Source organism: Homo sapiens, chromosome 7 (genome assembly GCF_000001405.40).
Source record: "Homo sapiens chromosome 7, GRCh38.p14 Primary Assembly".
Lineage (NCBI taxonomy): Eukaryota > Metazoa > Chordata > Mammalia > Primates > Hominidae > Homo > Homo sapiens.
In genome coordinates this window covers 70,272,946-70,295,264 of record NC_000007.14, presented here as the reverse complement: position 1 = coordinate 70,295,264, position 22,319 = coordinate 70,272,946, and the positions used below count along the sequence as shown (strand labels likewise).

Sequence of the window (22,319 nt, the reverse complement as noted above, 5' to 3'; positions counted from 1 at the left end):
CCACTAGAATGCCACTTAATAGACAGATAGGTGCTGAATGGAAGCACACAACGTCAGTGATTAAGACCCATCTTAAGGAGACACTAACTTGCAACTGGGGCATAAAAAATAAAATCAGGCTATCTGCTATTTACATAAACTCCAATTCTATTTTATGAGCTGGGAGCAGAAAAATAGAGAATACACTTCTGCCCTTCATCTTTCTAGGTATCAAAGCCTTTCTAGGCTAAGCCACAGCTAGGACTGTTCTCTTTTACACAGTGAAATCATTTCGAAGTGAGTAGCCTAGTAAATTTAGAGGAGTAAACTATTCTTGCCTATGTCTTCATGATCTATAATGGAAGATAAATCCTGTTAGCCTGGGCATGGCAAGGCAATTATTTCAACTGCTACGTTTCTGTGGAACAAACAAAACGACTCCAGGCTTATGCATTTCCTATTTAACGGAGAAGGGAAGCAGCACTATGCTCACCATGCCCGGAACACTGGTTGTCACAGACCAGTGGCAACCAGAATGGAAGACAGGCCTTGTCTATTATCACCACTGGATATCAAAGTCCTCTGGGCTACATGTGCTCATATTCGCCTGTCCAAACCAGCCTGTGACCGAATGGTGCTGAGCAAGAAGCAAAGGAAAAACGATCATGCTAGGAACATCAGGGCATTTTGGATGCAAAGCAGAAGCTTATCGTTTTTACTGTTGCAGCTCCAGAGAAAAGCAATTTTGACACAGAACTGCCACTTTACAAGCAAATAACTATACTTTCCAATAACCTAATCTGTGCAAAGCCTACTGAAAATTCCCTAAAGAACCAGTAGTTAAAACCTCCATTAAATCAAAGGGTTTAATATGGGAAAGGAAGAGAGGATGCAGTTTGACTTGGGAATGTAATGGACTCAGTGGGGAAATAAATATGTTGTTTTATGTGTACAGTTACAGAATATGAGAACACGGTATTCATTTCAAAGGGAATTCTCTTGCTGTGCAACTTATTCCTAAACAGATGTGATTTTTGCTTATTCAAAAACATTTAGGTAACAATTACAGCATAATAAATTATAATTGCCATCATCTTCCAGCTATGCAATGCCTTCTATGCAAACACAAAGAAAAGGCAATTACACAAAACTGTAAAACCCATTTTCAGGTAGGTTCTGCAGCCTAGATTCAAATAATCTATATTATTCTCACATAAACACTGTATTGTGCCTCACATATATATATCCTACTATGCCATGTGGAAACTACCTAGCAAATAACTAGGGTTTGTTAATCACAGGCTTGGATGGCCCCCAGTGGGGTAGTTTTAGGGGTGCCAGGAATGCCTTCCAGCCCTCAGATACCTACTTTTGCAGTCTTCAACTACCATCAGTCACTCCACCATACAGAGCTTCAAGCCACTGGTCACTCCAATGCAAATGCTCCAAAGAGGTGGAATATTATGTAGGCAGCAATGTTTTTAAACCTTAAAATAACTAATGTACCAAATTTTCAACAGGACAGTGCACTAAGGGTACGGCATCATCCAGACACTCTAATAGCGGGAAAGAAATGGTGTCCCTGAGACGAGGACATTGGTGCACACTCTCAAACAATGACAGGGAATATGCCAAGTAGGAGTGAGAAGAAAATAAATTCAGAGAAAAAGGTGTGGTTCTAACATCCACAAATTTGTCCATATCCCTTTTATACCAATGTTTTATTTCACATGGAAATCATGTGAAATCATGCATTTCAGGCATGATGACAGAACCGAAATGTCCTCATTCTGACAAAGAACTTATCCTCCTTTATCACTCACATTTACCATGTAATATATCTCTGACAGGTAGAACAGCATGAGTATGATGTGGACAGCTTGTTTTCAGATGAGCAATAAACTGATAAACCAGAAAAACCGATAAAAACAGGAGTTAAGACACTTAAGTTTTACTCTTATCTACTACTTAGTATCTTAACTTAGGAAGTGGCTTAAGCTCTCCTAAGCTGCACACCATACAGTATTCACCTTTACTTACAAAGTATCCCCCAGGAAGACTGGTTACAAAGGCACTGGGAAGAAAAATGAAGAGCACACAGTGTCCTTACCCTTGAGAGACTCAGTCTCCAGGGAGAAACAGTGATGTGAACAAATGACAACAGAGATGAGATCAGGGCTTGTGTAAGTACGGGGAAGGGACCATCTACCTGCTCAGAAGGGTCTCAAGAGGACTTTGCAGAGTTGGTGTTATGTCCTGAAGGATAAGAATGAGCTTGCTAAGCAGGCAAAGCAGGGATAGAGGGCATGCTAGGAAATGAGAATAACATGTACAAAGGCAATCTGCAAAACTAAGATAACGTGTCTGTGACAGCGCTTTGTTAACCATAAACTGCTTTACAACAATGGAGTATTTATACTGTTAATAGAAAGCTGCACAAGGGGTTGGCGAGAGTCTCTGTGGCTCACTCACTCAAAGGAATACCATTTTGATTAGGCTGCATCACGGTATACAGTGACCAATTTAAGGATCATCTGTTTAGCAAAGCATTTTAAAATTTTCCTTCTCTAACTAGTAGGGAACCATCTCACAATCACAACTAAAGAAAAATGGAAGTACTTGGAAGTGGCTTCCTATGTATTCCTTTAATGTCTCATTTGCTGCTGCTCTTTGAACAAGTCCACTCCAATCTCCATCCCCAATCATGCATTTTGTCCTGCATTTAGAAGTTTACACTGATACCCTTCTTCTTTATGAAATGTGTAACTTTAAAAGAATGAAAAATCTTGCTGCTGAGTTGACACATCTATGCTGACGGTGTGCTTCCTAAAACATTTTGATCACTTCTGACTCCTGAATACAGGCATGGTTTTACATAATTAGAGGCTATCGGAAAGTCTCAGGCCTAAAGCCCCACTGGTGAGTGACACTGAGTGGCTACAACTGTACTTTCACATACGCATTTTAGATGAGAATGTGCAGCAGGTGATGCAGATGTTAACTAAAGCCTGTGTGGGTAACCACGTGTCGGAACATGAACCGCTATATAAGAACCAAAGTATTTGACCAGAGACTCCATGAAGGCAAGGAAAACCTGACTACTGTACTCCTAAAATCTAGTACAGTGCCTGGCATAAGAATAGAATTCAATAAATGCTCATCATGGAAGCAAAGATTAACTGGGGGATATCCAAAGACTACCAGTAGGTCCACAAAATCAATCCAATGAGTCAGAAGACATTTAAAAAATATAGATAAGTGGTTTTAAAAATCAGTGCCCAGTACTGAACAGGGTGAAAAATCTGACACCACATATAATGACATCTCTCTAAAGCAGCACCTTCAAAGTGTGAATGACGGTTTTGCTTATACTTCATCTATGCAGTCCTGACCTGGGAGAGTGGGTGGCTTTCCATCTGGACCAAAATTTCACTAGCCTCCTTCATATTTATAAAATAATCTCTCTCTCTAGTTTGTCTTATTTCTCAAGCTTACTAGTCCATTTGATCATTGGAATGGAATATGAACACCATCATAAAATTACTGATTAGAATGAACCACATCACCTGAAGAATGCCTTTGCTTACTTAAGCTTCAATCTAATGCCCTAATCTTTCATCAAAGGTTAGAACTAAAATGAGTAACATGAATTCCATGTCTGAATTTTCTGGAAATCTGTAACTGGGGACATTGTCAGTTATACAGTGACTCTCAAAACCCATGTGAACATTTTCCTAAGAATTTAGAACTTAGCAAAAATATACCACTTCCCCCATTCTACACCCAAAACAAAATAAGGAGCTAGTTATCTTTTCTGAAAATAGGAATTATCACATTATTTCATTGTCTGGGCTATCAGGAACCTCTGTGCAACTTCGTGAGATGGGTGATTTACAAAGTTGTTTTCTCACCTCTCACATCTAGTACTTACTGTTATTCCTATTTTATTAAATTGCTTCAAATGCCTTTTTGAAAGCTATGGGGTAAAGATAACTATAATAGTAAAAAGATTTTTATTTCTTTATATAATTTTCCAATTTGTTCACATAATATTCCTCTGTTCAGTTTAAACATAGGAACTACAAAAGTTAAAGCAGGCCACGCCAAGTACGTTTTTGTTCTTTATGGTAGATAAAGCTGCTGATTGACAAAGATGATGTTCAACTGTTATAAAATTAATTTCCATCTAAAAAAGAAATGCTTGATATTACAGAATATTCCATTGGAGAAATGTGTATTTAGGCAGATAAATACATCAGCTGCAGACTATAAGATACATATGTGGTTTTACAGAACAAATATACCCTGTGAATAAGAAAAATGGAAATAGAGTAAAATTAGACCACCTATCTTCACCTTAACAATTTTAAAATCTAGAGGTAGCACGGTTATTTTAAATTTATTTTAACTGTCGATTATGTTTGGCTAAGGAGACTTTTATAGCCATACATTGAACATATACACACTATGTAATGACTTTGCTTCTTGGCAAGCAGCACTCTTTTAAAAAATCTAATTTATTAGTAGAAACGTTACAGTCATAGCTTAATGCCAAAAATCCCAGCTGGGCAGGTTAACAATTGTCAAAGGATCTGATACCTGAATTGGGATGAGGAATGGAGAAAAGAGAAACAAATGAAGGTTAAACTAAAACACACTGCAAATGAAAAGGAGGGAAGTGTTTAATTTCTCATTGGGGTCACGCTAACAGTAGTCAACAGAATCTATATCACATAGAGTATTAGAATTCAAATGTGAGTGACCACACCAAACGGAACTAGAATCCTTTAAGCAATTTGACGAGAGAAAAGAAACTCTCCCTATTACTGGCCCAGGATGAAGTGTTGCTGACATCCCTCTTCATATCATTTCCAGATTTAAGACATGCTTCCTCTCCAAGGCACATCTTCCCTGATCTCTGAAATGGAAACATGAAAATCTCAAATGATTCAAAAGAATGTTAAATGCCCTCTGATATAATACTGTGCTAAATGTTTTTTTTACATCATTGGTAATTTGTTTTATAAAATTGGGAAATTATTTCTCCTTTACACAGAAAAACATAAGCTTATGATCATTTATAACAGAGAATTTTAAAATTGATGCCTGCCTGCTCACCTCTAAGACATGCTTTGAGAAATCTCTTGTGATCCATTTGTTTGAATGTTCTACATCATGACTCTTCATACACAAGATTTTTCACAAATTGCTGGTTTCTATACTCCCTGAAATCTCGTCTTAGTTTAGCTTTTTTGTTATATGGTGCAAGACTTTGAATAATTTGATTTTTCCCCATCAGTGACAGAAGTCTAGAAGCATTCTGTGGGATCACATATAAAAATGCAGCCCCTCTTACTAAATTAGGTCTGTTTTGAAGTTTTCAGAATCAGAATTTAATAGAGAATTTAGTTATTTATGTATTTCCCTTCCCTACAAGTGTTTACATACTTGGTAACATCCAATTACTATTATTTTCACCTCTAACTCCTAATGGTTGAAGACTGTATCTCTAACTTTCATAAACACAAAAACTGGGAATAAATTCTAAGAATGAACTAGAAGGGAAGCCCAAAATCATCTAATCCTCAACACTCCAACTATCTTGGGTCTTTGGTCCAGACACAACCTTTGTGAGCTTCCATTTCTGAATCAAGAAAGAACAGCAGACTTGGAACCCTAACAGCTCTATAAACCAAGACTTCTCTCCACTTCTTATATTCACTTTCTCCCTTCCCTTCCTCAATATCCTCCCATAAAAATACTGGTAAGAGGGCCTGAGGGATGTAAATCTTATGTTTCTGTTTCAGGTAGAAGCAGCAACCCATAGGACATTCCTCAGTACCTTCCACACAGAAGGCTGTCGATAGACACCTATTGAATGGTGAGTGAATAGGCACACGAATGAAAGAGAAGGGAGCACATGGAAGAGAATTTTATTCCCTGGTCTCAGAATACTCTGATGCATCTTCCAATAGCACTGGATTCTTATGCAGTTACAACCCACTTAACACTCAGATGTTCCTTGGATCATATGTGCAGTGACTCATTTTACTTTCATTTCCATCCATGGCAATCACACATGTTAACCTATTCAAATGAATACTTTCAAAACACTTAAATATTTTGGGTTTGTAGGAAGATGTTTGGAATATATTAAGCTTCTTTTCAATCTATAAATCACAAACTAAGCTTGTGAGTCTGGTTAATTTTCATGTTGCTCAGAATCTATCTCATTAACACTGTTAGAATGAAGAGACACACCCAATATTCTGATCCTCTGCCTTTTTACTCTTGAAGTGACAGCATTCTCTACCGGGTCCTGGGTAGATTAAAAGGTATGCCCTACGGGTTGCATTATCTCTAAATCATTCATGATGTATTACGCTTAGTATAAATGAGTGAGTCCCATTTGCACAATTGCCCTATTAATTTACTCATCATTGATTTACACCACTTTTGCTGAAGTTCTTCTACCAGACCCCTATTTTATATGCATTCTCACTAGCTCAGTTTTAGAATTTTTCTACCATTCAGGCCTCTCTATCTCATTGTTCTTCCATTTGTCTTCATTTATACATCTTTTATCTCCATCCTCTCCAGTTCCTCCCTCTCCTGCCTTGATCAGTTTCTTCTTGCTTCTCCATTTTCTGTCTCCTTTGGCCTTCCTCCTCTCTTACTTAAGAGCACCTAATAAATCTCCAATTAGAGGTTGGCAGTACAGAGAAAAGACACCTGTAGACTAAGAAGCACAGGCAGACCAAACCCAGGAAGACGAAAAAAATGCATAGAGCGGGTAAATGAAGTCTGAAATCTAATCTGATGACTTCAAGTATTAAATTCTTTACTAAGGGGAAACCTTTGGCAAAGCTTTTTTTTTGTTTTTTGAGACGGAGTCTTGCTCTGTCGCCCAGGCTGGAGTGCAGTGGCACGATCTGGGCTCACTGCAACCTCCGCCTCCCGGGTTCACGCCATTTTCCTGCCTCAGCCTCCTGAGTAGCTGGGACTACAGGCACCCGCCACCATGCCTGGCTAATTTTTTTTGTATTTTTAGTAGAGATGGGGTTTCACCGTGGTCTCAATATCCTGACCTCGTGATCCACTCGCCTCGGCCTCCCAAAGTGCTGGGATTACAGGCGTGAGTCACCGCGTCTGGCCTGGTAGAGCTCTTAAAATAAAGATGACAAAAATTATGCCCTTACACCACCTTGAAGAAGCCTTTAGTTTTTTTCCCCCATGCCTCATATCTTTAGAGGCTTGTTTTACTATTCAGCTAAAAAGCAAAAATTCTCTTCCTTCAGCTGTAGCCAGAATCTAATCAACACCTTTGGGGGAATATCTAAGATCAAAACACCACTGGGAATATCTAAGGGCTGAAATATAAGTATTACCACTGTGATTTCCACAGGTAAGGTTTCAAAATTCTCATTTCATAACATTTTTTGGTGAGCTAAAAAAAAATTTTTTTTTTTTTTTGAGAAGACATACGAAACTCATCTCTTGTGGGTTCGCTCTCCTTCTTCATCTTAAAGACTCATTTGATTGGCTTGTCCAAACAAAAACTACAAGTTATTTTATGCAAAAATATACATAATAAATGCACAACTGAAAATAACATTAAAGATAAATATTACTTTCCTTCTCCCTACCTCTTGTAGGTGAGAATGTTATTTTAATTTTACTTTGACATTTTTAATTCTAATATGTGAGTGGACAAAAAGAAGGTGGTCAGCAACGCTCTAAACTACTGGGAGGAGCCACTAGTTTAGTTGAATAATCTTTATTTAATTTCATTAGTCCCTATAATTTGCTAATCCATTCATTAGTATCTGACTTACTGGCTTTTGCTCAGCTGGCATTTCTGACAGGAAACACTGTATTTCTAATATTCTGACAGCATGTAAAAATATAGAAGTACACTACAAATAAATAATAATTTATCCAGAATATGAAACTCTGGGCCAAGGACCACAAGTCATTCATCTTTGTAACATCAAAGAGTGGTACAACAGTCGAAGGTGTAAGAAGAGGAGGACCCATCATAGGACCACACCCTATTCTCAACATTTCCCTAAGTTCTGACCCTGTCCATGAAACTCACCACAGTTGAAGAGATACAGAGATCCAGCGAATCTCATAAGGAGCAAAACCAGAAGAACAACAACATGTAGAACTGAGACAAAAAGTAGAAGAAATCAAGGCAACCAACATTCATAGTAAATCAAGGCAAGTTTCAACCTGGTAAAAGCAACAACTTAATTGTCTTGTAGTTTGATTCTGGAGATTAATGTAAAAAATATGATTCTTATAAGGAATACAGTGATGCTGGGAGTTTCTAATACGTTGCCTTAGAAAGAGACCCCTATGATCAAAGTTCCGTTCAGCAAAATCTTAGAAAATGGGTAGCTCATGTGTCCAATTTTGGGACTCATTTTCTTGATTTATGAAGATATTGATGTTTTTATAAGGACAAAGAGGCTGGACAACATGATCCCTATGGTAGCTTTCACTAAAATTCCATGAAAAAGATTTTGGAAATAACCTATTCTACTCTTCTAAGAAATACTACTTTAGGATCTACCACTCTTCACTTATATTCAGTAGCATATTTTAAATGTTTTAAAACATTTTAAAGACAAGTATCATTTTCTCTTTAAACACAATATTAGTATTTTAAAGGATCCTTAAAGTTTTCATTAGATTTCCTTTTAGCTTAGGTTGAAAATGTTTTTCATCAGAAATACATCTTTATATTTGTTTGGAAAATAAAATTTCTCATACTCTAGCATAATCATAGTATTTCAGAGTTGAAGGAACAGTTGAAAATACAATCCAGTTTTGTTTTATGTTTTAGAATACTTTCTGTTTTAGTTTTAAAAGTGTAGAGAGTATGGTGGTACACACGCAGGACCCTGCGACTCCAAACTCCAGCTTAAAGTAGACTCACTTAGAATCTATCCATTTATGTTTTACTGATACTCTTCCACAGGTAAACCTTTAACCCTTCAGTATCTTCCTGTTGCTCTCAGGTGACAGACTGGAACCTACACCTGGCCTTCAAGACCCTGCACAAGGTTGCCGTTCTTACCCCATTTTTACGCTGCCAATGACCTCTCTGAAGGCCTGCTTTCTGCACTCCATTCTCTGAGAACATTTTGCTCATCCTCTATTGCACCACTGAAACAAGTCCTTTCCTGTTTCAGAGTCTTTGAACGTGCTGCTTTCTCTGCCTAAAGACTTATCACTCCCACCTCTACCTGGCTAACTCTTACTCAGCCAATAGATATCAGCTCAAATGTCATGTACAAGCTAGTCTACATTCACAGCCCCTTACAACATTGCTAATAGCAACTGCCATGTCTTTCATTTAGTAATTCAAACTTTGTTTCATATAGGTCTTGCCTGCTGGGATGTAAGCATTAGGAGGGCACAGTGACCACATCTCCTGTTCATTAACATATTCCAGCATCTTACTCTATGCCTAATATACAGAAGTGGCTCAATAAATATTTGATGAATGAATACATGTGCTAATGGAGGATCCTATGGATACAAAGACATACACAAACATCAAGAGATAACTATCAATATTAAGTATCAAATAAATGTCAATGTATGACCCAGATGAAGGCTCTTAAGGAATTTGGAAGAAGATATCAGTACATGGAAGCAGCTGAAGAAGATTTCAGGGAGACAAAAAAAGACAACATGTATATGTGCTAAGATTGATGCTTACTGCATGACTTACTCTCATTAAAATAAATTGTCTCAACAATTACATTGCTCCTGATTTCCAAACATGAGAATACTGCTAGTAAATAGCAGGCCTAAGAGTCCATTTATGTCTGGGCTAACTCCAAAGACAAATGGGTTTCCACTGTACAACACTGTCCCAACTATTACAAAATAAACACTGACTAACAAAGGAGGCAGCATGAGGGCTGGGCCTTGAGGAACAAATACTGAAGGGTTTCTCAGAGCAAATGTGTTTTATAAATACCAAGTTGGAAATATACTCTACTACACAGTCATTACGGTTCCTGAAGATTACATGGTATAGGCATGCTGAATGGGAATTTACTAATTTATTCCAAATATAATTCCCATGTTGACTCAAATGTTAAGAGCTTCTGACAGCAGAGAGGCTCATAGAGAAATCACCCCATTTGCCCACTAAAAAAAAAAATCAGCATGGCTCATACTATGCAGTTTCATTGTTAACTACTTTCAAATTACAGTATCCGGTTATTTGTATCCATAAAGGCAAGCAATGAAGACATTTCAATACAACAAAAAGGAAACAATAGTAAATAAAAGCTGCACATGCAGAGGAAAGGGGCCCTTTTTTGACCTCTCTGTCAAATCCCTGCATCTCAGAAAGCAGGAAGGAGTCTAGAGTTTTTGATTTCAGTATTCCTCAGAACAATCCTGGACCTCTGGAGGGATCTTCCCTGGCTTTCTGATGCTCAGTCTTCCTTTCCAGTGCTGGAGAGTAGACCAGCTGAAAGTGGGCCAGACCCCATCTCTACATCACAGTTATTTTCTATCAGTTTCATCTTCTTTATAACGAACTTGAGAAAGTTACCTCAAAACCTCATAGGCTTCTGTGAAGCAGAATGGAAGTTCATTAAGACCTTTTGCTCTCTGACCTGCTGTGCTTTCTATTATCAAGAACCACTCTGAAAAGGCCAAAACATATGAAAAGGTGTTCAACCTCAACTACAATTTTAAAAATGCTAATAAAAACAAAAATAGATTTTTTTTTTAACCAATCAAGTAGGTAAAGATGGGGTGGGGTGGGAGATGGCTGATATCCTGTATTGGTGAACAGATGAGGAAATGGTCCCTTCCCAACACATAATAACATGAAGACAGAGCCTTTGATCCAGCAATCCAGAAATTGCTAGGAATTGATCCTAAAATGATCACTGGGTAAGTGTGACAAAAAGAAAGTACATGGCAGCCATGCCATTAAAGTGATAAACTGCAACCAATCTAAATGTCCATCAATAGGGAAATGGTTAAAAATTATGTTTTACTATACAATGATATAATATGCAGTCACTAAAAATTAAGATTATGTATTGATGTGAAACATGAAGATAAGGTATTGATGTGGAAAAATCGCCATAATTTATTGTGAACTTAATATATGACATCCAGTATTGTTATATGTACTGGTAATTTTTTGTTTTTGTTTTGCAATGATCATATAGTAAATTTTATAATGACAAAACAAAATAAAATATGATTTTGGGTGAGAGAGGTAATCCAAGATGAGAGACACCATCCAAGAAGAATTATAAATATGCAATTAGATAAACTACGGGATTGTGATATACTAGTATGATCTGATTTTGTCTTTGAAAAGTAAGATAGCTGGTTCCTAACTGACAGGATGAACCTCTTCCTTCCTTTCTTCCTTCCTCCCTCCCTCCTTTCTTTCCTTTTTTAAAAAATGATCTGACTTGAATGTCAGTCTGCCTCCTTGCACCAGACTCTTTTTTCTTTTGAAAACTCAACAAACTAGGGCTTCCAAAGGACTATTCTAAGTAGAGATTCTAAATTCATGCCATGTTAAATGAATGGTATCAAACAGATGTCAACAGCAACTTTAAAAAATAAGTAAAACCTAACTCAGTAAAATGATTCAAAATATTATAGACTATAACCAAATAGAAGTATACTTTATTCTCTTGTGGCATATGTATATATGTGTGTGTATACATACATATATACACATACCACAAAAGAACTATATGCAGTATTTCATTGATTCCAAGATATACATTTTAAAGTATATTTACATCTCTGAAATTGGAATGCATCTTAACATCAATGGCATGTCAGTTTGACATGTCAGTTTGTTAGTGTAGTTTTTTAGAGGTACATAAAATAATGTTGCATCTTGCAAGTGATGGCACTTTTAATTCAATGAAATATGGTTTTATTACCACAACAGTTCATTCTTTTAATGGTGCAGAGAAGCACAGATAAATCAGGTATTAAATGCTATTAACCCTTCCTTTCACAAAACAAAACATAAACGAAAGAAAACTATTGCTATTTTCTCCAGGTAGAGCAATTTCTCCCATTCCACCCATATGTAAGCCACTTTGCACAGAAACACTCACATTGACAATACAGGTATCTTAATATTTCGATTCAAAGCACAAGCTAATATTCTGAATGGTACAAACAGTAGCTTTTTCAGGATTCCAAATCCATCTTCTACCCTACTATAGTATATAAATGACATAAACTTCTCATCAACAGCATAAAAAATTCATATTCTGTCTATATAGAAGCTGCTATGTTAGCTTTATGTCAACAATTGGTCTGATTTTTTTAATAGCATAAATGTTTAAAGAGGTAGCAATGCCTGTAAAATATCCATGGGGATATGAAAGCTGATATACATCAGGATGGAGGCGTTTCTTGAAGAGGGAGCAATTCTCCATATTTTATCTTGCTCAGTCCGCCATTCCTTCTTCCACAAAATCCCTCCTCCTAACGGTTCATTTCACATTACTTCTATCAGCTAAATATGGCAAGTGTGCTAGCTTGCTCCTGCACTGCCAGAATAACAAATACCTTCTTCACAGGGACTGTGGTCTGAATGTTTATGTCCACTCAAAATCTACATGTTGAAATCCTAACTACCAAGGTGATGGTATTAGGAGGTGGGCCTTTAGTGGAGGTGGTTAGGTCATGAGGGTGAAGCCTTCATGAGTGAATTAGTGCCTTTAGAAAAAAGGCCCTAGGAGCTCGTGTACCCCTTCTACCATGTAAAGGACACAGCTAGAAGGTGCCATCTACAACCAGAAACTAGGCCTCACAAGACAGTGAACCTGCCAGCATCTTGATCTTGTAATTCCCAGCCTCCACAACTGTCAGAAATAAATTTCTGTTGTTTATAAGCTACCTAGTTTTTGGTATTTTGTTATAGCAGCCTGAGTGGACTAAGACAAAAACTGGTACCAAGAAGGGAGGGTACTGCTGTAACAAATAACTAAAATGTGGAAGCAGAAGTGGCTTTGGAACTGGGTGATGGGTAGAGGCTGGAAGAGTTTTGAGGTGCATGCTAGAAAAGGCCTACGATTTTACAGTCATCTTTTTTTAATAGGAAACATGTTCTGAAACAAGGCAAGCCCCACAAGGTTAACATGCCCAGGGAAGGTATGGGTACCCCAAATATTGCTCCCCAGCACACACACATTGTAATCAATGAGCATTGCTCCAAGAACTCAAAATTATCATTAAAGCTTAATCTGACTTTCTGTCTACATATCTGAAATCCTAACAATGCATGTTATGCTCTTTGATCAATCTATGCGGTTTGTTCTGGGTTTGATTTTTGTTGTTATGGGTCAGGGGGTTGGGGTGGAAGAAAGCAGCAGATAAGAGTAGACTGCTGTTCTGGCTTCCTCACTGAAACCGCACCTGAAATTACATAGTCTTTACCCTTTCACATTTGCTCTGTACTAGCTGGAGAATGACAATAGCCTTTAAGTGCTTAGCATATGTTATTTGCTTATTGATACAATATGTAGATCTGAAACATTACTCCGAATCTTCAAAGCACTAAACAAATATTAAATGTTTACAACAAGTAAGTACATTTGGTAAGTATGATAGAAAATACACACTGGATTGTAATACCCCAAACAGATCATATTTTTCTTCTCTGTATGTTAACAAATGTTTGAACCCAGGTCTTCCTTTAGGTTTTCAAATGGTTGGTCACTTTCTATTCTCTGAATGTCTTTTCTATGCTCCTGTTTCCACCCTATCACTTTAACTACAAAGAAGAAAACTTTCTACAGCACTTGCTGTCTCTTCTTCTCTTCACCAAGAGACGATCAAAGCAGGGAACCTCCACTGGGCCAAGCTGTGGAATGGGTGGGATCCCCCTAATTGCAAACTAATCTCTTTCTCTAGATATGTTTCGCTCTGTATTACAGGTAAAGCACAGATGAGGCTGGTCTGTACTGCAGGTACAGCATAGATGAGGCTGCCATTCACACAGGCCTAGGCACATCCCTATAGGATCTCAAGGTACAAATTATGGGCAGAGGGATAAAAAGCTTAACTTTAAGAGGATCTGGTCAACTCTCTCCAGTTCAGCTTTTACTTGAGTGCACCAAATTTAAGGGATTGTTGGATGTTTACCCCGATATCCATAAAGTTCATAGTTTGGATCTTTTATCATTCATTCATTCATTCATTATCACTTTCCACACACACAGAGACAGATAATAGATACAGATAAAAAAAATAAGAACGTGGATATGGGTATGGAGACATAGATACACTATTTGCCAGGTCCATGAAGGAGAGAAGTAAAATCCTAATAAATTTATTATACTTCTTTTCAAATTTTGTCAGTGTTAGACAAAAATACCTATACATTAGTGAGCAAACTTAAGAACTAGTGAGCAACAAAGAAGAAAAACCAATAGACTCTTCTTATTACATGTGTAAAATCATAACCTGGCTGTCAATATAGGTTTCCAGGCTAATAATGTGTCAATCCAAAATACCCCACTGTATTGTTGTGTCGGGGTTGGGGACGGAGTGTTTTTGTTTGGGTTCTTAACAATCAATGAACTGTTCAGACCTCCAAGTGTTTATAGTTTCTTCTTTTTCTCCATGACTGAAGCCAAAGATCCTCTAAAAAGTTTCCCTTATTTGGCCGGGCACAGTGGCTCACGCCTGTAATCCCAGCACTTTACGAGGCCGAGGCAGGTGGATCACAAGGTCAAAAGATCGAGACTAGCCTGACCAACATGGTGAAACCCTGTCTCTGCTAAAAATACAAAAAAAAAAAAAAAAAAATCAGCCGGGCATGGTGGCGGGCACCTATAATCCCAGCTACTCAGGAGGCTGAGGCATGAGAATCGCTTGAACCCGGGAGGCAGAAGTTGCAGTGAGCTGACATCGTGCCACTGCACTCCAGCCTGGGGACAGAGCGAGACTCTGTCTCGGAAAAAAAAAAAAAAAAGAAAGAAAGAAAAAAGAAAAAAAAAGTTTCCCTCACTTATTCCTAAAGCAGTGAACACTCTGGCTCATGAAGAGAGTAGAGGAGTGGGCAAATGAGGTGAGGGACAAGATGAGAGAGCTCTAGAGCTGTAACTACTATTTATTGAGCCCTTATTATGTGCAGACATTGTGAAGCAACTGATACATACTACATCATTTAATTGACCTCTCCCCATAATCTTGTGAGGCAGGAATTATTATTCTCATTTCGTAAGTAAAGAACTATGTGTTCAACTACAGTTGTAATTTGCTCAAGGTCATATAGCTAACAAGTGGAGGAGGTGGGATTCCAACCCAGGTGTGCCTCATTCTAAAGTTTGTGGTCTTTACTGCTATATTATATAACTCTTACTGTAGACAAATATATTTTTGTGAAAATAATTTTACAATGGAAGGGGGCATCAGATAGCTATAGCCAAAGATGCACTCTGGCCTACTTAATCCAAAAGACGATAGAGCTGGAACTTTTGAGGTGGCAGGCTCCTTCTGGACAAGATCATGACTTGTATAAATCTTCTCAACAGTACATCTTCTGAACCAAGGTAAACCAAAGTGCTATCACCTATCAAATGTAGTAGTTCCGTAATTTTAGTGTAGACTTGGAAAACCTTAACACACAATTACTAGAAACAAAGAATCTTTTAAATAAACTCCATTTCCTGTCACACCGAAGGCTGATTCCTTTCTGGGCAACGCTCATTTGGGCCTGATTAAATTGCTGTGATGAACTTAAGAGCTGAGACTGCCCTTGAGCCGAACATCTATCTGATCTTTAATTCTACTACCCACTCATTTCTTGCAGAGCTCACAATTCTCTTTGTCCCACTGGAGTAGCCTCGTTCGGGTTCTGCATCAATATGTTCAGTGCTGAATTCATTTCTGCAGGGAGTCCAGTACATCTGAACTTTCCAAAATCATTTGGCCCCCATTACTGGTAAGCACTGCTCTTAAATAGGTTGTAACTCCAGCTAATAGGCTCCATAATCATAGGTGAGTTGAACAAAAGGGTCCAAGAGAGAGTGCCATCAGTCATTTTTATTCCCATCAAATAAGCTGCAAAAGGCAGAAACTTTCCGATTTCAGAATATCATGGTTTCAATTTGATATTCAGTGCTTATTAGAGATGCAGGGGGAGAAGAGGAAGAGGCCCACCCAAAGGTATACAAAATCCCAAGGCCTAAATTAAATGCATTATTATAAATATAATTCACAAAGACAGAAAATAAAGCATTTTCCAATAAAATGATTTTGAGTTTTAAGAAGTCTCATCTAAACTACTGGAGGCCAAAGCACTTAAGAATCTTCCTTCCAAAGATGAACCTGACTACTTAACATTATTTAGTAGAAATGTAGAAAAAACAACTTTGTTGGCAGTTTGACATTCTCTTTTGGTCTAAGTGATAAGTAATGAGAGTACTCCATAAAATCCTAAAAGAACGACAACAACCAAACAACAGAAAACACTTTCGGGCTGATTTTCAGTATGTCTGAGAAATTCCTAAGGTTTCCTTTAATGACAATCTTACCTTTAAATTATAAACATTCAGGTATAGCTGATATTTACATTTCAATGCTTTTTAAAGTGAATCCTCATTTGTATGCATGTATGTATGCATGTACATATGTATGTATGTATGTATGTATGTATGTATGTATGTATGTATGTTTTTGAGAGACTGTCTTACTCTGTCACCCAGGCTGGAGTGCAGTGACACACTCTCACTCACTCAGCCTCCACCACCCAGGCTCAAGCCTCCCACCTCAGCCTCCCAAGTAGCTGGGACCACAGGTATGTGCCACTACACCCAGCTAATTTTTGTACTTTTCGTAGAGATGAAGTTTTACTATGTTGCCCAGGCTGGCTTCAAACTCCTGGGCTCAATCAAGCGATCCTCCTGCCTCAGCCTCCCAAAGTGCTGGGATTATAGGCGTGAGCCACTGTGCCAAGCCTAAAATGAATCCTCATTTAAAAAATACCACAAAATACATCCTACTACTATTATGTACAAACATTCACACTGAAAGGTTATTATTCTGTGCTTGCTAAGAACAAGTTGGTCTAATGTAGAATATAGCAATCTCGTATTCTTGCTTGAGGATAATGAAATAAAAGTACCCACAAACGTCTGTAATGTGCACAGGTATACCTTCTGCCCAGGAATATGTTCAGATGCACCAGATTAAAGGGAAGAATGGTTCATGTTACCAATCACCCAAAACTTCTCCAAATGCCTACTAAGCATTCCTAATACAGTACTGTCATACACACACACACACACACACACACATACATACATACACACACACACACACACACACAAATACACAAGGCAAATGAAATCTAACCTTTTTACTAAAATGGGTAACATATTCTTGACTTGATAGTTTTTTGCTCTCTTTGTAGATATTTAGGTTTCTAATAAGACTATGTTGCTACTCACATTTTGCCCTATCATTTACATAGTCTGGGCCCTGACATACACAACAACAAAAAACAGAAATCTAGAATCTGTCCTGCAGATGCTTTCCTTATCAATATCTTTTTTTCTCCTTTGCCTACTGACTTTAAGATACTTACTTTAAGATAGATTATTAGTCTATTTGTTACTCTCTATCAAAATAAAATCTCCCCCCGTAATACTATCTTCAATAAAGCACTCTTGCATGCCTCAAGCAATGATGTGACCATGCTGTCACAATGGGCACAGAAAGGGAGAGTGCAAGGGACCCTTAGAATATTTTAATACTTTAATTACCACATCTTAACATGCAGTTTCCTTGAGTACTAAGAGTCAAGATTAAAATCCAAGGTTTCCCCTCATTTGTGATCCTCTTTAAAGTCTCTGTGACAGTATTAACACTCCTGATCACTCCCTTGCCAGGTTTCTTGGGGAAAGTCCATCCTTTATCTATCATTCTCACCTTGCTGAAGGTTCCTTCTGTGTATCACCACCTTCTTCTCACTAAGGGAGAAATGCTCAAGAGGCTCTGTCTTATATTCTATCTTCACAATCTCGATCATCCAAAGGCTTCAATTAATACCTCTATAGAGGCTCTCCTAGGTCTGAAATCCAGTTGTCCACTGGACAGATCCATCCTAGGAGTCCATCAAACTCCAAATACAAACTCTTCAATGTGACCTACAAAGCTCTCAACTACTGGCCTTGACATGCCATTTCGGCCTTAATTCCCATTACAAAACCATGTATATTTCACACTGAGAACAAATGGATGGTTGTCTATTCCAAGAATGCCCTGTTGCTATCCTGCCTTGCTATCCATTTTACATCCCCTTCCCCACATCTTTCCGGATGCAATCTTAACTATCTTTTGAAGGCCAGTTACCAACGTTCTTTACTCCTCAGTCTGATAAACTCTTTTCTTTGAAACTCAAGCCTATTACTAGCCTTCTCTTATGACACATGACTCTATCTTTCCTCATAAGGATTTTTGGGGGCTTCTTAGTCAATCCATAGAATAAGAAAAGCCTGCAACTGAGAGACCTATATTAACAGGTTGCCTTAGTAAAGGAATACTTATAATATTATATGAAATGGTCACAAAATTGGGCCAGGCACAGTGGCTCACACCTGTAATCCCAGCACCTTGGCAGGCTGAGGCAGGCAGGTCACCTGAATTCAGGAGTTAGGGACCAGCCTGGCCAACATGGCAAAACCCTATCTCTACTAAAAATACAAAAATTAGTTGGGTGTGGTAGCTGGGACCTCTAATCCCAGCTACTCGGGAGGCTGAGGTGGGAGAATCACTTGAACCCGGGAGGCAGAGGTTGCAGTGAGCCGAAATCACACACACCATTGCACTCCAGCCTGGGTGACAGAGCAAGACTCCATCTCAAAAAAAAAAAAAAAGTCACAAAATTTACTTTAGAGAAAAAAAATAAAAACTACTTAAATTAGACTACATGTACTTTACGCATTTGTGCAAATAAGAAAGTTTTGTTGTATTTTATTTATTTTACAATTGATATTTTCTGAGAAATCGTTGAATATTTTATAGGCATATTCTTGAAAATACTTCATGTACACTCTTTCTTTGATTCTGAGCTATTTGTATCTCTAGTGACTATCACAAAGCACGTACTCAATGTCAGAAAAAAAGAAAACTGAAATAAGAAAGGGAAAGATGTAACATTCAAAAACATTATGAGAGCAAATCTGAAACTGAAACAGAGGAATGTCCAAATGTTAGCTACAGAGATGGAGGCAGAGGAGGACAGACATACTAATTGCCAGAAATTTTCTCAGGTAATAAAAGAATGTGTGCGTGTCTGTATTAATACGTTCTCATGCTGCTATAAAGAACTGCCCAAGACTGGGTAATTTATAAAGGAAAGAGGCTTAAGTGACTCACAGTTCTGCATGGCTGGGGAGGCCTCAGGAAACTTACGATCATGGCAGAAGGGGAAGCAAACACATCCTTTTTTACAAGGTGGCAGGAGAGAGAAGAATGAGTGCCCAGAGAAGAAAAAAGCCCCTTATAAAATGATTAGACCTTGTGAGTACTCACTATCACAAGAACAGAATGGGGGAAACTGCCCCCATGATTCAATTCTCTCCACCAGATCCCTCCCACAACACATGGGGATTATGGGAACTAAAATTTGAGATAAGACTTGGGTGGGGACAGAGCCAAATCATACCAGTGTCTGTGTATTTTATTGTGGCAAATATACAAATTTTTTTTTACCATTCTAACCATTTTTAAGTATATGGTCAGTGGCATTAAGAGTATTCACATTATTAATCATCACCAACATTCATTTGCAGAACTTTTTCATCATCCCAAAATGAAACCTTGTGCCCATGAATGGGTAACTCCCTATCCCACTGTTCTTCCCAGTTCCTGGTGACTTTTTGTCTCTGTGAGTTTGACTACTCTAGGTACCTCATAGCAGTGAAATCCCACAATATTTATCCTTTTGTGTGTAGTTTATTTCAATCAGCATAATGTTTTCAAATTACATTGATTCATTCGTATTGCAGACTGTCAGAATTATCATCCTTTTTAAGGCTAGGTAATAATGTTCCAGGCTGAGCATGGTAGCTCATGTCTGTAGTACCAGGCAGGAGGACTTCTTGAGCCCCATAGTTTGAGGCTGCAGCGAGGTGTGATTGTGCCACTGTACTTCAGCCCCAGTGACAGAATAAAATGCAACTCAAAAACAAAAGTAACAACAATATTCTGTTCTATGGATATACCACATTTTATTTATTCATTTACAAACTGATATACATGTGGACTGTTTCCACTTTTTAGCTATTATGAATAATGCTTCTATGAACATTGGAATATAAGTATCTGTCCAAGTCCCTGTTTTTAATTCCGATTATATACCCAGAAGTGTGACTGCTGAATCATATATGGTAATTATCTGTTAAATTTTTTTGAGGAACCACTATAATACTTTCCAAAAGGATACATTTTTGATCTTTGAGAACCTTAACCTTTTCAGGCCTCCATGGCATTACCTATGAAATGGAGGATGGATTAGATCAGAGATCCTTTCCGTCTCTACCATTCCGATTATAAAACTTGGAGCTTTAAACCCATTACAGACCTTAAGCTTGAGCATATCAACCTGCGCTCTCTCTCTCTTTCTCACTCACTCACTCACAACAATAACAAAAAAATTGAAGGCTGGGCACAGTGTCTTATTCCTGTAACCCCAGCCCTTTGGGAGGCTGAGGCAGGCAGATTGCTTGAGCTCAGTTCAAGACCAGCCTGGGCAATATGGCAAAACCCTGTCTCTAAAAAAATACAAAAGTTAGCTGGGCATGGTGGTGCATGCCTGAGGTCCAGGCTACTTTGGAGGCTGAGGTGGGAGGATCGCTTGAGCCAGGGAGGTTTAGACTGCAGTAGAGTCATGATTCATACTACTGCACTCTAGCCTGAGCAACAAAGCAAGACCCTGTCTCAAAACAAAAAAAGATGAGTTTCTATATAAAATAAAGAAGCCCTTTTAAGGGAAGGAAAGAGGGAGAGAAAGAAAAAAGAAGAAAAATGCTGAAGATATTAAAAGAAGAAAAGAGGGCAGAAGAAAATATCAAGAACTTAAGGCAAATATACTATAAGTAGAAGAGAGAAAAAGAAATCTGGTATTTGGGACTCACGAAGCACCCTGAGGCCCACTGTACAAAACGCAACAGCTTACAGACATCAAAAGAGAGGAAAGCAAAGCAATTCAGGTTCATGGAGAAAGATGCCCTACTATTATTCATTTATTTTCCAATTTACAGTATCATTATTTTTACTAATTTATCTGGTTCTAAAATACCCCTAAGATTTTCTAAATCTTATTCAAGTACAGACATGGAGCAATATTTTTAAAATCTTCTCTTATAAATAGCCTATCAAAGTGATACACAGTTGACCCTTGAACCACATGGGTTTTGATCCACTTACATGCAGACTTTTTTCAACCAAATGCAGATTTAAAATACAGTATTCAAAAGATGCAAAACCCACACATACAGAGGGCCGACTTTTCATACACAGGGCTCTGCAGGACCCACTGCAGGACTTGAATATATATGGGGGTGAAGGTGAGGGGGTACTGGAACCAATTCCCTCAGTATACCAAGGGGTGACTATAATTTTTAAAACTGCACGTGTCAATTAAGTGACTATACTTGATTCTTGTATTAGAGTTTACATTTTTTCTATCCCTAATGTTCATTTAAATATACAAAGATTGTAAGAAAATAGAATTCTAAGTTATAGAATGCCAGTAAAATAATAATAATAATAATAATAAAAGCTATAGGTAGTATAATACCAATACTACTTCTTTAGAAATTTTATTATGTATGTCTGAAGAAGGGGTTGGAAAAAAAATTATTGTGGTCCCAAATTACAACAAATCACAAAAAAGAGCTTTAAAATCAATCATATGTTGTATTATAAATCAGACACAGGCCAGGCACAGTGGCTGAGGCCGGCAGATTGCTTGAACCCAGGAATTCAAGACCAGCCTGGGCAACATGATGAAATCCTGTCTCTACAAAAACATATAAAATTAGCCAGGTGTTGTGGCAGGCACCTGTAGTCCCAGCTCCCTCCTGAGGTGGGAGGATTGTTTGAGCCTAGGAGGTGGAGGTTGCAGTGAGCCAAGATCGTGCCACTGCACTCCAGACTGGGAGACAGAGTGAGACCCTGTCTCAAAAAAATAAAATAAATAAATCAGACACAAAGTGCAGATACTTAGAATTCCCCTCTGAGGAAGCAGAACTCAACTCACAGAATTTTTAAAAACCAGGAAGTTTACCTTATCTGGAGGTCTT

General features: G+C 38.0%; 1 protein-coding gene across 26 annotated transcripts in view, besides 1 other annotated feature; it reads right to left on the bottom strand.

The window, feature by feature from the left end:
* Positions 1 to 22,319, bottom strand: part of AUTS2 (activator of transcription and developmental regulator AUTS2) — a 1,195,032-nt gene that overhangs the window by 498,242 nt on the left and 674,471 nt on the right. Inside the window, exon 5 of one of the 26 annotated variants that reach the window (NM_001127232.3) lies at positions 1,026 to 4,897. The exons of the other annotated variants lie outside the window; for them this stretch is intronic. Within the exon in view, the coding sequence (NP_001120704.1) occupies positions 4,757 to 4,897 (141 nt within the window). The 3' untranslated portion in view covers positions 1,026 to 4,756. Of the gene's footprint in view, positions 1 to 1,025; positions 4,898 to 22,319 lie in introns of those variants that run through there. 26 annotated transcript variants of the gene reach the window in all.
* Positions 19,479 to 19,538: an enhancer, noted in NCBI's record as "active region_26108". NCBI's record gives its function as "activates an Ori minimal core promoter by ATAC-STARR-seq in GM12878 lymphoblastoid cells {active_cell/tissue: GM12878}" and the evidence as "EXISTENCE:reporter gene assay evidence [ECO:0000049][PMID:35858748]".